Here is a 17,513-nt window from a genome sequence, read left to right as displayed (position 1 = left end):
CCCCTCCCCCAGCCTCGCTGCCGCCGCCTTGCAGTTTGATCTCAGACTGCTGTGCTAGCAATCAGCGAGATTCCGTGGGCGTAGGACCCTCCGAGCCAGGTGCGGGATATAATCTCCTGGTGCGCCTTTTTAAGCCCGTCGGAAAAGTGCAGTATTAGGGTGGGAGTGACCCGATTTTCCAGGTGCCATCTGTCACCCCTTACTTTGACTAAGAAAGGGAACTCCCTGACCCCTTGCGCTTCCCGAGTAAGGCAATGCCTCACCCTGCTTCGGCTTGCGCACGGTGCTCTGCACCCACTGTCCAGCACTCCCTAGTGAGATGAACCTGGTACCTCAGATGAAAATGCAGAAATCACCCGTCTTCTGCGTCGCTCACGCTGGGAGCTATAGACCGGCGCTGTTCCTATTCGGCCATCTTGGCTGTCCTCCTATATCGAGATCTATCTTCTTATGAAAATTCTGCAAATTCTTCATGGAAGGAAAGTATGGCCACAGTTTTAATATGACTCTCTAGAATAATCTGTGGATATGATAATATCAACACATAGATTTACTATTTAAAAATCTACTTGAAAAAAGATTAATTTAGGTTTTCTGACCATAGAGTTTTCTGGAAAATTTTAGAATCTGCCTCCCCCAAATTTGAACCAAAGTAATGTTCTTATGTTATTTCTTCCCTTCTTAAAAATGTATGATGGACTGATTTCATTATGTACAACTACAAACTGGTAACGAGACTGACTCATTTAAATAAACGTAGTTAAAACCATGTTTTCTGTTGTTATATTTATTTACATGGAGTCAGTTCAACTTTTAACGGCATAGGTTCACTTAGGTTTTCTCTTATTAGAGGTCTCTCACCCCTCTTTAAACCATTACTTCCTTATTAATTTCCCAGTGGCTTCAGGCAATTTCTAGCTGCAGCAATGACTATGTGAATAAACAGTCTTTATTGTTTGTGGTTTTAAGATGGAGAAAAATACCTTTGACATACTTAACATGCTGATTATTAGATGAAGTCCAAGGAATATCATTAGCTTTGATAATGCACAAAGCAGTCTCCTACTGAGTGCCCACTATATTCCAAAGCCTGGGGGTTCTAAAAAGGAAGATGTATTGCTTGCTCTCACCAAGCTTATCAATAATAACTGAAATAATTGAGTACTTACTATGTGCCAGGCATTTATTCATTCTCATATCAACTGTTTAAAGGATGCCTACTGGATGCCAGACTTGGTGCTAGGTGCTAGAAATATAAACATATGCAAAAACAAATACATTCCTGCTCTTATATGCTTATGGTTGGGTGAAGTGATGTCACAAAAATATGTTTATAATTTCAAATTTAGAGAAAAGGAACATAATAAGTCTATGAGTGAATACAACAAAGGAAATTTGCCTCCAGTCTGGGAGAAATCTCAGAAGGCTTCTCTGAGAAGGTGATAGTTGGACTGTTTTAAGGATGAGTTGGTTTTAGCTAGAGGAGAAACAGGGGAAGAACATAATACTCCTCTGCCATGCTAGAGGATCAATCCTGACTCAGGAATCAATCCCAACAGAGGTTCCATTGCAGAAAGAAGAAGAAGAAGGGCCATGGCTGGAGCATGGGGTGATAGGGAGAGTAACGCGAGATTGAATTGGACAGGGGTGAGTGAGGGCGGAGTGGTTGGTGGCAGATGACACAGAGCATGTATTCCATGCTTCAGAACAATTTGACAATAAAGGAGGAGACATAATCTAAACACCTGCCTATGCATCAGTTAAGGCAGTGAGAGCAGATACATCTGTCATGTGTGCTCAGAGAGGAGAGCCTCCACCTTAGAGGATCAGAGAAAGCTTCCAGGCAGAGGAAAGGAACAATTTAAGGAGGTTTTTGACAGTGAATAGAAGTTTCGCATTCAAGAAAGGAGAGAAAGGGTATTCCAGGCCAGGGGAACAGAATGTGCAAAGGCTTAGAAAGATCAAGGAACATGGTGTATTCTGGAGGCATGACACACTTCATGTGATTAGCATGTATTTAGTATGTGCATGCAAGCACATGTTTGTTGGTGTGTGTATGTGTATGTATGTGTACACACATGTGCAGGAAGGTTGAGGTAAAAATTCTTAAAAGACACATTTAGAAAATTCAGGTTGAGGCATTCGCAGGGCGGTACCATCTGCCATGCTAAGGAATTTCCCATAGTAACGCAGTTCTTTAAATAGATGTGACACCTCTTATAAACTTGTATTTTTGGTTTAGAACAACGTTTGTCTTAACTCTACTGAATATCAGAATCACTTGGGGAGCTTTTAAAACTCCTGGTCCTCAGACCACATCCCAGACCAATTGAATCAGAATCTCTGTGAGGGAATCCAGACATCAGTATTTTTTTTTCTAGTTGCCTTGCCCATATTAACTTCAAAAAAAAAAAAAAAACCACTCCATATTTTCAGAGCAGTTTTAGGTTCACAGCAAAATTGTGCAGGTACAGAGATTTCTCATATAGCACTGGCTGCATCACATGCATGGCCTCTCTCCCTATCAGCATCCCCCACCAATGTGGCACATTTGTCACATCAATGAACCAACACTGACATGTCATAATCACCCAAAGTCCATAGTTTCCATTAGGGCTCACTCTTGGTGTTGTACATTCTAGAGGTTTGGACAAATTTATAATGACATGAATCCATCATTGTGGTATCATAGAGAGCAATTTCACTGCCCTAAAAATCTTGTGTGCTCTGCCTGTTCATCCGTCTCTCCCCATTTAACCTCTGGCCACCACTGATCTTTTTACTGTCTCCATAGTTTTGCCTTTTCTAGAATGTTATATGGTTGTAATCATGCAGTTGCCTTTTCAGGCTTTTTCTCACTTAGCAATATGCATTTACAGTTCCTCCGTGTCTTTCCATGGCTTGATCACTCATTTCTTTTCAGTGCTGAATGGTGTTCTATTTTTTGAATGCATCAGTGCATTTTAAAGCTTCCCAGGTGATTCCAACATGTAGCCAAGCTTGAGAGCTAATGGTTTAAAAAACACTCCGGCTTCATGGGAAAGTTTAGGGACCAGGAAGGAGATCAGGAGTCTTCCTGACCTCCACAGTAGATTAAAAGTCTTAAAATGGCGGCACCCAGTGGCAATGGGAAACAAAAGATGAGTTTCAAAAACCATTTCGGCTGGCCGGGCGCAGTGGCTCACACCTGTAATCCCAGCACTTTGGGGGGCCGAGGCGGGTGGATCACCTGAGGCTGGGAGTTCGAGACCAGCCTGACCAACATGGAGAAACCCCATCTCTACTAAGAATACAAAATTAGCCGGGCATGGTGGCGCATGCCTGTAATCCCAGCTACTCGTGAGGCTGAGGCAAGAGAATTGCTTGAACCTGGGAGGTGGAAGTTGTGGTGAGCCGAGATTGCACCATTGCACTCCAGCCTGAGCCAGAAGAGCGAAACTCCATCTCAAAAAAAAAAAAAAAAATTCAGGCCATTGAATGAATACGTCCAATGGGATGTCAGGGGGAAGAGAGAGAGATCTAGAGGATGGATTCTTAGTTTCTAGTGGTGGTGTCATATCCAGACAGAGTGGTGGCTAAGAGTTTGAGGGTGTGGGCATGAATTCCTACTTGGCCAGTCACTAGCTATGTGGGTGACCTTAGGCAAATCACTTAATCCCACAGGCCTCAGTGTGCTCAGGTATAAAATGGGGATACTAGTGGTACCTATCTTGTTATGAGGAATATTTAAGCTACTTCACACAAAGGGCTTAGAACAAAACTCTTTATAAAAGGTTTGTTCTTCACTGTTAAGAACTGCTGAGGCAGGGACAGGGCAGGACATTTCCTAAGAAAGAACTTAAGCCTAAGGTAACTGATAGGAAAAGAAGCTTTCTTACCTGGTCAGGTTCAAGAGTACCAATTCCATTAGTACCTACGGGTTAAGGATTCTTGGTTGAGGTACAAAAACAGAAAACAAACAAACAAACAACAAACAACAACAACAAAAAAAACCTCTCCATGCCTCAGTTTTCTCACCTGTAAAATGGAGACAATAAAAATATCCTATTTTCAGGCCAGGTGCAGTGGCCCATGCCTGTAATCCCAGTGCTTTGGAAGGCCGAGGTGGGAGGAGTGCTTGAGGCCAGGAGTTCAAGACAAGCCTGGGCAACATAGCAAGATCCTATCTATCTCTACAAAAAATTCAAAAAAAAAATTAACTGGGCATGGTGGCATGTACCTGTAGTTCCAGCTACTAAGGAGGCTGAAGTGGGAAGATCACTTGGGCCTAGGAGTTCAAGGCTGCAATGAGCTATGATTGCTACTGCACTCCAGCCTAGGCGACAGAGCAAGGTACCCTGTCTCAAAAAATAATAATAATAAAATCCTGTTTCCAGGTTACTGAGGATACTAAATCTGCCAAAGAAAATCCTTCTTTGCCTACCTAGCATGGAGAAGGGCTATTTCTTTCTTTGACATGGCTCCTCAGAATGCATGGAGATTTGGAGCTGTGTTGTCTACACTGGATGTGTGAGAGTGATTGGTAATCTGGAGGCTGACTACACTTCAGGCCTGCCCTGTGGTGGAGTCACTGACTTCCACCTTCTGGCTGCAACCTGCCCAAGCCCATCCTGAGTCCTAGGCTGTGTTTACTTAGATAGGTCCCTTCTCTGACTGACGAACATCAGTCCTTGTGATTGTTCATTTTTTTCACTTTAGCTTGTTTGTTTTCAGTCATCCAAGTCAGAAAGTGTCAAAAAGAAACCTTTGAAGAAATCTTTATGGATCTGTGGTAGAAAGGTATTTGTTGACAGTAGCCTACAACTTTGCTTTCCTTGAGAAAGGAGCTATTGCTTGGATTTGATATTAAAGCAGTCAGCTTCCGGGAACTTTGTGCTTCAGAAATCATCATCTTAAAAACAGAAAATTATGATATTTAGGCAAGAGGGGATGGGATTAAAAAAGAGAAGAGTAATAAGCGTCATTTTAGAACTATCTCTGAGGGAGTCTGTGTTCAGTCCTATGGTAGCCTTTGTTTTACAGGTATGCCACGTTACAAACAAGAAAAAAGGTGGAATCCTAGGTAGTTGCAATGGTTGAATGCTTAGAAAGAGAAAAACCTGGATATTTTTAGTTTTTTAAGAGCAAACTTTTATTATAATTCAGAGCATTAGTTTAAAAATGGGAACATTCTCAATAAGATAAAATTCAAAAAAATTGGAATAATAAAAAGTGGATTTTTTAATGCTTTGTACACACTCCTGGGTCACCGCCATCTGAAATATATTCATTAATTCATTGATATGTTCAACTAATATTTGTGTGTAAGCATTTAGGATGTATCAGGCACAAACAACAGTAAAATGTTCTTCTTCCTTGCCTTCAGGGAACTAAAACAGGTACACAAAATATAATACAAACCAACAAGGATAAAGGCCAAATCAAATGGAAGATTTATTTTTCCACAATCTACCCCCGGGACCTAGAAGACAGCCTACAAATAGTAGAGGCTCAGCAAATATTTGTTGGATAGTTGGAAGAATGAATGAATTATACACCTAAGACTTACAAAGTCGGAAGGAAAAAAAATTATGTAAAAAGAATGAAGAGAGGATATTTGCATACCACATACTTTGTAATATCTTTAAGAAACTCAGATGTACTGTGTTCCCTCAAAATATTTCCATTGCAAAAACATGAAAAAATAAAATAAATAGTTGGTCGGGTGCGGCGGCTCACACCTGTAATCCCAGCACTTTGGGAGGCCAAGGCAGGCGTATCACCTGAGGTCAGGAGTTTGAGACCAGTCTGGCCAACATGGTGGAACTCCTCTCTATTAAAAATACAAAAATTATTTGGGCGTGGTGGCAGGCGCCTATAATCCCAGCTACTTGGGAGGCTGAGGCAGGAGAATTGTTTGAACCCAGAAGGTGGAGGTTGCAGTGAGCCGAGATCGCGCCATTGAACTAAAGCCTGGGCAACAGAGTGAGACTCCGTCTCAAAAATAAATAAATAAAAAATAAAAATAAAAATAAATAGATAGTTGAAGTAAGGGAACAAATACTTACAGAGGACTTTTTCATGGAGTTGGTCCATTTGGTTACATACTAAAGAAATTTATGAAATCTGTCTCAAACACACAGGTGCCTTGAAAATAGAGTTAGCTTACATGCAGTTTCCACAGTTAAGATACAGTTTTCCTTAACTTTTAAAAAATTGTATGAAATGTTTTAAGATGAATAGAATGAACAATAATGTATCCATAATACAACTTTAAAAAATCTCAGCATTTTGGAATACTTGAGTCTTTTTATTTGTGAAATAACCACATTACAACCTCAATCGACCCTCCTAAATTCCATTTTACTCTTCTCATTCCCCAGAGTAACCACCATTCAGAATCTTATAATTACCATTACTTGCATCATTTGATGCATAATTATGCATGTATACATTCAGAAATAATATATGAATTTCTATTTATTATCTGATTTTTAACTTAATGTAAATGGTGTACAAAAAAGTTCAAGTCTTTTCCAACTTTCGTCTTTTCTTCAGCAGTATGATTTTAAGGTGTATTTACATAAATCCCTGTTGCTTTTATTCATTTAAGTACAGCAAGGAGTTGTATTATAGGAATATGCAAACATTTATGTATTTGTTTTCCCACTGGTGGACATACAGGTAGTTTCCAATTTTATTGCTATTATAAACTGTGCTACTATAAACACCCTTGTACAAGTCTCCTTGTTTATGTGTGCCAAATTCCTCAAAGGCACAGATCCAGGAGTAGAATTATTTGCCAAAATGCCACGTGCATCTGAAGCTTTGTTTTCCAAAAGGCTTGTGCCAATTTGCACTCCCACCAAAAGCACATGTGGGTCCTCATCATGCCCATTCTTGTCAACACTTGGTATTGGAATTTTCACCAATCTTAATATCAAATGGTTTCTCATTATTGGTTTCCTTCTTTACTCTTTTTCTTCTAGTTTACTGATGTAACGTACCAATGTAATAAGGGAAAATGTCTTGGAAATACAAAATTATGACTTTCACACAGGAAATATACTCTCCATTTGCTTCTGAGAGCTCATTCTTTCATTTATCTAACAAATGTCATCATTTTAGGTACTGGGAATACAGAGATGAATAAGACCTACTCTTGGCTACCCAGGAACCCAGGGTCTTGAGAAGGCAGACATGCAAAACAGATAAGATGGGCTAGAAAACACAATGATTTATTGGGTATAGGGAAGGAAACTGCAGAGATGGGGAGATTAATTCTAGTAGGACCTAAGAAGGCTTCCTACAGAAAGTGATATGCCAACAGAATTCAGAATGAAGAGGGTTGAATAAATACAATCCTTCAAAGTAGATATTACTATCCCATCTTACAGATAAGGAGAATGAGGCCTAACATGTTTATTTAACTTACTTAGGTAAGATCTTTGATTCCAAAGCCAGTATACACCCCAGGACATCACATTGTTTAAGAATTCCTGAAGACTCAATTGGTACCAAAGTCCTGTAAATACAGATTGGGCAAGCTCAGAAGGACACATCTAACACTGGTGATCACCCACGTGTCTAGGTGACTTGCACACCACTTGAATTTTTGGTTGCCTTCAGACCTCCTACTAGAGCCATTAACATTTTTATTAATTTTTGTATTCTTTATTTTTTGCTGCCCTTTAGCAAAATATTTTGTAACTCTTACAGAGAAGAACTGGTATGTTCATGGGAGTCTATTATATTCGTACTTCTGATCTGAGCTTAATGGCACCAATTTCATGAGGAAGTAACTTCTCTAATCCTTTCCAGGGGCAGATAGTATACACTGAGAGTACTTGGGTTTTTAATCTGGGTAACATTGCAGGTCTTTCAACAGAGGTGCGCCTTGGTCTGTCCTAGTTTGAGCAGGAAGGCCCCACTGCTGTGTTGAGAATAGACAGAAGCTGGATAAGGGGAGAAATAGGAAGGCCAGTCAGGAGACTATTGCAAAAATCCAGACAGAAGATGATGAGGGCTTAGACCAGCATAATTGCAGTGGAGATGGTTCTCCTGGATGTATTTTAAAGATTGAATCAATAGTATTTGCTGATAGACTGAATGTGGGGCTTGAAAGGAGAGATTGAGTCTCTTCCTATTTTCCTACTCATTCCTCAGAAAATTGCTAACCAGAGCAGTGAAGTTGGTCTTGTTAAGAGTAGACCCCTAATGCAGTTATAACTTCCCATGTTAACTGTCTCCTATATGGAAGACACTTGGTTTTCTCTGTCAACCTGTCATCAACACTAAACCACTGAGTGCTCCTAAAAGCTGTGTGCTGGGCATTCAGATGAAACCAGGAAAAACTTTGAAACAGCACTAAGGTTGCAAGAGTCTCTTAGAAATTGTGTACTTGTTAGCTCTATGATATCTAGAAAAAGCTCTGAACAGGAGAATGGCCTACACCAGATTCCTTCAATAATTCTAGGTCATAACTGACCTACAGGTTTCAGAACGCATAAAATCTTTCTTTGTACTCCAATACCTCCTAATCATATAAGACGCCATGCTTCTATATTTTCATTTGCTTCCAGGCATAGGTCTTGGGGTCTTGTTCTATGCTCTTAATCTTCTAGAAATCCTATTCCTTCTCCTTTACCTCCCTAAGATCACATCTCTGCCACTAGCACACTTTGCTGTTTTCCTTGTGAAATGTGTTCTGCATATAATCAGTCAGCAGACTGTAGGGTGTTGTGCTTTGTTGGAATATAAATAGTGAGTGACTATTACATTTCCCAAAAGGCTTTCAGCTAATTGTTAAAATGGAGAACTTTAGGACTATAATTTGGTAGCCAGATTCTTTTTCCGGCTTACCCTGTCATTCATCACCCAGAGGGATGCAGAAACTGGTAAACAAATGGTTATTTATTTCACAAAGATTCCCTGCACCCCTACTTTATGCAGGCTGCATTCCAAGTCTTCAAGGTACATATAGGAATAAAACATAATTTCTGCTTTGGAAGAGCTGACAATCTAATAGAAGAGGCAGATAATAAACAGATCATTACCCTTCAGCTTGCAGGGCAGTGGAGAGTGTCTGGAAGAGGCTGTATCAAAGCTAAGTCCAACTTGAGGAGAAAGGTGGGAGGAGGAGAAAGAATGAGTGGAAAGAGGAAGAGCATTGCAGATGAAGGAAAGATTTGGGATCAGAAGCCTTGGGCGAATCTTATTATGGGACTACCTGGAGGAAAGCAGCCTCATCAGAGTCAAAGGGTGAACTATGGAACATGGGCTCCTAAGGTACTGCACAGATGGGCACAGAGATACTCTTCAGAGCCACCTGCTCCATGCCTGTGTCTTTATCCCCAGATGAGGACAAGGACTCGCTAACCTTGAGTTGGGGGTCAAGAACCAGGAAAGTTGAGGCCAGGCACAGTGGCTCACACCTGTAATCCCAGCACTTTGGGAGGCCGAGGCAGGAGAATCCCTTGAACCTGGGAGGCAGAGGTTGCAGTGAGCCAAGATGACGCCACTGCACTCCAGCCTGAGTGACAGAGCAAGACTCTGTCTGGAAAAAAAAACAAAAAACAAACAAAAAAAAAGAACCAGGAGAGTTCCAAATGAATGTTTGTAAATTTTTAAATTTATTTAAAAATAAAGAAAACACACTTTCTATGTGCCAAGCAGTATTCTCAGCCCTTTGTGAGTATTATTATTGGCCTGTATTACAGATGAGAAAACTGAGGTAACAAGACAGAAAACTGGCCCAAGTTCAAATAATAAGTTAAGCCTAAATGAAGATTCAAGTCCAAACATCTAGGCTTCAGAGTCTGGGTGCTGGGCCCCTCCCTCCCACTGCTGCCTCTATAATTAGGGTCTAGGTTGGTTGTGTAAGTAGTTCTTGAGTAGTGGTATGAATCCCCAGTCTGCAGCATTGGCAGCTGAATCAATAAGGAGCAGGCAGGAGCCCTAGGCTGGATGTGTGTCTTGAGAAGGAGCTGTCTGTAAGACATCCCAGTCAAGATACCAAGCATCTGAAACTCAGGAGCAAGATACTGGCTGAAGCTCTAAAATTGGGAGTCTTTGGGCTTAAAGGTAGGAGTGGAGGTCTCATTTGGGTGAATATATCCATTTCCTACAGCCACTGTAACAAATTACCACACCTCATGGTTTAAATCAACAGAAACGTATCCTTGCAAAGTTCTGGAGGCCAAAAGTCCCAAGTCAAGGTGTCACAATGGCTGCGCTCCCTCTGAAGGTCTAAGAAATCCTCTTAACTTGCTGTTTTCCAGTCATTCCAGAATGACTGAGGGCACTCCTGAACTTGTGCGAGCCTAACTCCAATTTCTGCCTCGGGTCTCTTCACACGGCTGTCTCTCCTCTGTGTCTCTCTTTGTCCTCTCCCCTTCTTATAAGAGCATCTGTCATTGGATTGAAGGTCCATCCTAAATCCAGTATTATATCATCTAGAGATCCCTACCTTAATTATATCTGCAAAGGCCTTATTTTCAAATAGTGTTCACTCACAGTTTCCAGAGTTAGGACTTGGGTGTATCTTTTGGGAGGACATTATTCAACCCACCACAATGGACAAGTTTGTCCTGAGAAGGTCTTGAGTGAAGAGGCAAGTCGACCTAGAGCAGAAGAGTGGGGCAAGACCAACACTGGGGGAGAGACAGCTAAAGAACCCTGGGAGGAGGCCAATAAGCAGCTATCAGAAGCTGAAGGAGGTCGCCAGGAGAAGAGAGAGCTAGAAACCCAAGAAGGAGTTTTATATATGAAAAGGATGACATGGACAGCAAGGTTAAATACCACTGAGAAGTGTGGAACATACACAGTGGTGGGCAAAGAGAGGGCTTTTAGTGACTTTGGCAAGAACCATTTTTTCACCTTGGCAGTGTGGATGGGAAGGGGGTGGCAAGGAGCTGAAGACCCTGGTGGCCAGTGCTGTCATACCATGTGCAAGCTGTAAGTGGCAGTATGCACAATAGCAGCCTCGAAAAACCCAAATGAAGACCGCTGTCATACTTTTATGTTTCCAGATTCTCTGATGCTTACATAAAAGTGCACTTCACATTAATTTCTTACATACAATATGTTGAAGTGGCAGGTAAGTGAGGGACTATATCTATCTATATATGGTAATTATTTTAAATGACAACATTTTGACTTTCCATTTCCTTTAAATTAGTTTTACGTGGTAGGGGGCCAATTCACATTTTAGAATTCGTCCAGAAGTTGTTTTAATTGCGCCTTCAAACGTAGATACCTGTGCTTCTTAAATGCAAAATGGCTATCTTTTGATAGGATTAAATGGCCTTTCTTTTTTATTTCACTAGTATGTTTGCACTAATATCAATGGTGAAATAGCAGTGCATCAAACTGATCCCAAGGAGAGTATGGTGCTTAAAAAATGCTAGCCTGAAATAAGAATGTAACTTTTCTTACAGTTACCAGAGTTCATTTCAATTAAATCTTAATGAGGAAAAATGAGACAAATGGGTTCATGAGCATTACCTCTCAGACCTTTTAATTTTTATAAATCCACTGGCAGAGTTAGACTTACCCTGTTGCAATTATTTCATTTGGCTCTTGGAAATTTCACCTCGAATTGCATACGGCGGGTGCCAGAGGCAATCATCTGCTTCGGGGCCTAACTCTTGTGGTCATGTTATCCATCTACATCTATAATCGGAGAAGGGGCATGTTAGAAATGTGAAAAGTACCATTTGTCACAGCATTCTTGCGTAAAGATGGCTGGGGCTTTGGGAATAAGCCGGTAGGGGCAGTTTTTCTTCTCATTAGCTATTTTATTTGTAACTGCAGGGGCTGTCAGAAGCATGGACTTAATAATCTTCAAGTTTTCCTGCATTAATATAAAAAAAGTTGCATGAATTTTTGGCAAATCATTGTCCCCATGAGGGTATCAAAAATACTTTGCTGGTGAATACAGAATAACCCTTCTTTGGGGAGCTCTCAGCTGAGTTAAATATATAATTGAAGCGGATTTATCCAGAATGAGACATTTATGCTGATGGTGTACACGTTTTGAAGATTCTGAACCTTCACTCCAAGTGTCTTTTCAATTCTCCACGGGTAAAAGTTAGAAGGAAAGTACCAGCAGCGCTGTTAATATAATAACAGAGTGCAAGGGATGCATTTTGCGGTTAGATTATGATTATCTCTTTATCTGCTATGTCTTTGCATGCATCGTGGGGTATCAGGAGGAAACCCAAGGCCCTTCATTCTGTGAAGAGCACCAGAAATATCTATCCTGCAGGATCTCAGACTAACGGGAAACTGAAAGACAGAAGGAAGGGAGGGAGGGGGGAAAAAACAGAAGGAAGGGAGGGAAGAAAAGAGGGAGGGAGGGAAGTAAGGAGGAAGGAAGCAGGGAGGGAGAGAGGGAGAAAAGGAGCGGGAGGGAGGGAGGAAGGAGAGCAGGCAGATCCAAACTTCCTTTTCTTTGCTACAGCTGGTGTTTCTCCATGAAATACTTCTTCCCTTCGTGTATGGGCATCATGCTGTCTTGGTTCTCCTCCCTATCCTCACTCGCTGTTCTCTCTCCATCTCTTGCCTCAGGATTCGGCGCACACATTTCTTCTTATCTCTTTTCATACCTGTTTCCTAGAATATCTCATTGAGTCCTATGCATTTTAATACAATCTCTAAGCTGACAACTCCTTCATTTATTAATATATTCCCAGCCTCCACTTCTCCTGTAAAGTCAAGCCTGATACAACCAACTGCCTCTTCAATGTTTTCACTTGGAAGTCTAACAGACATGTCAAATTCATCTTGGTCAGAACTAAACTGGTTCCTCCAAGGTTTCCCAAACTGGCTTTTCCTGCACACTCTCAGGCCAATGTCGCTGGTGTTTTCCCTCACTCCCTCTTATCTCCCAGCCCCATCTACCCTGTTGGGAAATCCTGCTGGTTCATCTTCACACCATGCTCCGGATCCAAAACCTCTCCCCTTCTCCCAGGAACATGGCTCCTCCAGCTGTTTCCACTCAGTTGTTCTCCACCACTGGGTGAAGCAGGCAGATTGAGCCTTTTATGCTTAAATGGAATAATGTTCTAGCACCTCTGCCAACAACTCCAGGGTTTTGTCATCTCACAGTGAAATCCAAACTCCTCCCCTAAACCCATGAAGCCCACTTGGCCTGGTCACCGTCAGCCACCCCCATGTCTCCATCACTCCCCCAAGCCAGCTGCTCTTTCTCAGACACACCAAGCATGCTCCCTGCCGCTGGCTTCGGACTTGCAGTCCCCACATCCTCGGCTGCTTTTCCCCTGGTTGTTCACAGGGTTCATAGGGTTCTCTCCTCTCCCGTCTTTTCTCCAATTGCTCCTCAAAGACCTTCTACCAAAAATAGCCAGACTGTGCCTACACACATGCATGACACTGCTTATGATCCTCTGTTTTTCCTTCATAAAGTGTAACATTTCCAAACACATTCTACATGTGTTTGTTTATTGTTTGTCTCCACATAAAAGCAGGAATTTAATTTTTGTGTGTTGCCATGTCTCCAAAGTCTAGCACAGTACCTGCAATAGACTGGGTATGGAGTAATTATTAGGAAAGAAAAAAAGAGAGAGGGAGAAAAAAACAATTATTTGATTTTTTTCTTGTAAATTTGTTTAAGTTCTTTGTAGATTCTGGATATTAGCCCTTTGTCAGGTGGGTAGATTGTAAAAATTTTCTCCCATTCTGTAGGTTGCCTGTTCACTCTGATGGTAGTTTCTTTTGCTGTGCAGAAGCTCTTTAGTTTAATTATATCCATTTGTCAATTTTGGCTTTTGTTGCCATTGCTTTTGGTGTTTTACTCATGAAGTCCTTGCCCATGCCTGTGTCCTGAATGGTATTGCCTAGGTTTTCTTCTAGGGTTTTTATGGTTTTAGGTCTAACATTTAAGTCTTTAATCCATCTTGAATTAATTTTTCTACAAGGATATGAACAGACACTTCTCAAAAGAAGACATTTATGCAGCCAAAAAACACATGAAAAAATGCTCATCATCACTGGCCATCAGAGAAATGCAAATCAAAACCACAATGAGATACCATCTCACATCAGTTAGAATGGCGATCGTTAAAAAGTCAGGAAACAACAGGTGCTGGAGAGGATGTGGAGAAATAGGAACACTTTTACACTGTTGGTGGGACTGTAAACTAGTTCAACCATTGTGGAAGACAGTGTGGCAATTCCTCAAGGATCTAGAACTAGAAATACCATTTGACCCAACCATCCCATTACTGGGTATATACCCAAAGGATTATAAATCATGCTGCTATAAAGACACATGCACAAGTATGTTTATTGCGGCACTATTCACAATAGCAAAGACTGGGAACCAACCCAAATGTCCATCAATGATAGACTGGATTAAGGAAATGTGGCACATATACACCATGGAATACTATGCAGCCATAAAAAGGATGAATTCATGTCCTTTGTAGGGACATGGATGAAGCTGGAAACCATCATTCTGAGCAAACTATCACAAGGGCAGAAAACCAAATACCGCATGTTCTCACTCACAGGTGGGAAGTGAAAATAAGAACACTTGGACACAGGGTGGGGAACATCACATACTGGGGCCTATGGTGGGGTGGGGGGAGGGGGGAGGGATAGCATTAGGAGATATACCTAATATAAATCATGAGTTAATGGGTGCAGCACACCAACATGGCACATGTATACGTATGTAACAAACCTGCACATTGTACGCTAGAAGTATAACAACAAAACAAAACAAAAAACAAAAACAAAACGAAGGCACAAGTAAAAAAACCATTTGTAAATTGGTTAAAAAAAAATTATTGAGCATTATTTAGAGTTTAGGAAATAAGGGTAGGTCAATGAATAGACTATTGTTTTTGGACTTCAACATTGTATTGCAATGTCCACAAGGGCCCCTCTGATGGCCTCCTTTTGCACTTACTTGGAATGTCTTTGAATCGATTATAAGGCTCACCATCATCTAGCCTCTGCTTCTCTTCCCTTAGTTCTCTCTGCTACAGCCACTTAGCCTTTGTCACATAAACCAAGCCCATCCCTCCCTCCGGCCTATGGGAAGGTTCTTCCCACACATCATTGCATGATTGGGTCCTGATTGCATGTCCTCTTGAAAAGACCTCCATCAAACCTGCTATCCTCATTTCTGGCCATTTTCTATCACATAACCCTGTTTTATTATCTTCATGGCATTTATCGCCATCCAGGATGTCTTGTTTATTTCTTTACTTTTCTCTCATCTCTGTCCCAGCTTTTGAATATGAGGCTTTGCGGGCTGGGGCCTTCATCAGTCTTGCTCACTGCCTTTTCCCAAGTGCCTGGAACCTGGTAGGTGTTCAGTCATTATTTTCTTAGTGGATGAGTAAATGAGGCTGCCTTCTAGGGTACTGACCTTCTTATGCCCTCCTGCTCGCGCCCCCCCCCCCACCACCTGATGTAATTGGAAGGAGGATTGTTATAGATTTGCTGTTATGTGCACGTCAGTGAGGAGCCGGGCATCTGGGAAACAGGAGACTGCCAGAAGTTCTTGCCAGAAATTTCTCTAGGAAGTAAAAAAAGAAGGAGGCATAAAATAGTTGGGAAAAAACCATGTACAGCAAACCTAACTAGGTGCATTTTCATTCCTCTAGAAAAAAAACCTTTTCAATAGAGACTCCCCACACATTCCCCAGAGCAGCAATTCTCAACTCCTATGCATCACCCCATCAGTTGTGAGTGCTGTCATGCATGGTAGCCAAATTACCAAACTTTGTCATTTATGTTTTATGTGATAGATGAGGTGAGATTTAAGGTCATCCTTGTGGCATCCTTCTCTTGCATTGGTTCTATTATGTGTTCTTGTGAGTCTGAGGGGTGAAGTGATAAGTGGTATGTTATGAGTTGCAAATGTTGCACAGATTTTCTTGATGCTGCTCAGCCCTTACCTGGGATGCCCCAGGCAGGGAGACACAGACTTGACTGTCATCCACAGATTCAGGAACCCCAATCATGGTTTATTAGGCCATTCTTGCATCGCTATTAAGAAATACCTGACACTGGGTAATTTACGAAGAAAAGAGGTCCAATCAGCTCATGGTTCTGCAGGCTGTAGAGAAAACATAGTGTTGGCATCTGCTTGGCTTCTGAGGAGGCCTCAGGGAGCTCTTACTCGTGGCAAAAGGTGAAGCTAGAACAGGAACATCACATGGAGAATGCAGGAGCAAGGAGGCAGGGAGGGTGCCACACTTTACACTTTACAACAACCAGATCTCATAAAAACTCACTATGGACAGCACCAAGTGGATGGCACTAAACCATTCATAAGAAACCCACCCCCATGATTCAGTCACCTCCCACCACACCCCACCTCCAGTACTGGGGATTATAATTAAACATGAGATTTGGTGGGGACATATATCCAAACCATTTCACATGGTGATCACCTGGATTTCACCTGCTCCATGCCCCCACATAACTCTGAAAACACTCAAGTTCTATTATACAATAAGCACAATGTTAAAGTTTAACAGGTAATCATTATGTAATCAATCCTTATACTACTAATTTGGTAGACATCACTATTTTTCATTCTATAGCTTATCCAGCATTTCACAGAAAGTGAAGAACTCTTGTTGAACACAGATAAGATGCTTCTCTGTAAATTTTGCATTTTCTTAATTTGGGATAAAGATAAAAAAGTTGTCAAAGACTGAAAGCCCAAGTCAGAGAATCATCTGACATGAAATGATATCATTTCTAAAATTAATAAACCTGACTTGGGGTCCTCAAAGTATCCCAAGCAAAATGGTCATTTTTTATAGATTTTTAAAAAATAAAATCCAGTTATGCATATTTCTTTTGTGCCAGACTCTTCCTGAAAATAATTTTTCAAAATGATTGTCACAGCTCTGCCCTAGAGGAACTTGCAATCAAGTAGGAGAGGAAGAGATGTTCAATAAATGATTCTCAAAGGACATAGCCAGCGACTCTAAGTGGTCCAATGAGGCTTACAAATGAATTGGAAAGGGACAGTTGTTGGGAAATAAAATACAAAGACAGGTAGAAAAAATGCCAACCTTTTGAGAACTATAGTAGTTAGGATGCTGGAGTAAAGATAAGACCGCAAATTTCCATTGGCTTAATTTAATAAACACATTTTTGCTTTGTAAAGTCAGGCTTAGGTTGGCCACCCTCTTTCATCTTGAAACTACACCGTATGGCAAAATGATGTCCAAGGTTGCAGTATCAGGGTAAAGCAGTTAGGCTTCACCCTAACCTGGCACTTCATGTCCACTCCCAAGCCCACTGATATGGTTTGGATTTGTGTCCCCACCCAAATCTCATGTTGATTTGGAGGAGGGGCCTGGTGGAAGGTGACTGGATCATGGAGGCATATTTCCCCCTTGCTGTTCTCCTGGCAGTGAGTGAGTTCTCATGAGATCTGATTGTTTAAAAGTGTATGGCACCATCTCCCCCACCACTCCTGCTCTGCCATCATAAGATATGCTTGCTTCCCCTTCGCCTTCTGCCATGATTATAAGTTTCCT

General features: G+C 41.4%; 1 protein-coding gene and 1 long non-coding RNA gene across 25 annotated transcripts in view; one reads left to right on the top strand and one right to left on the bottom strand.

Annotated features, from left to right (window-relative positions):
• Positions 1-17,513, top strand: part of LDB2 (LIM domain binding 2) — a 397,105-nt gene that overhangs the window by 341,131 nt on the left and 38,461 nt on the right. The window lies entirely within an intron of this gene.
• The window catches only part of LOC105374505 (uncharacterized), a 190,382-nt gene continuing 179,137 nt past the window's right edge, over positions 6,269-17,513 (bottom strand). For all 3 annotated transcript variants that reach the window (XR_007058068.1, XR_007058069.1, XR_007058067.1), the window contains one exon: positions 6,269-15,529. This is a non-coding gene — a long non-coding RNA (uncharacterized LOC105374505). The remainder of the gene's footprint in view (positions 15,530-17,513) is intronic.

The sequence above is a fragment of the Homo sapiens genome, chromosome 4, assembly GCF_000001405.40.
Source record: "Homo sapiens chromosome 4, GRCh38.p14 Primary Assembly".
Taxonomy (NCBI): domain Eukaryota; kingdom Metazoa; phylum Chordata; class Mammalia; order Primates; family Hominidae; genus Homo; species Homo sapiens.
Note: the sequence above shows the minus strand (reverse complement) of the source record. Positions and strands in the feature narration are given on the sequence as shown.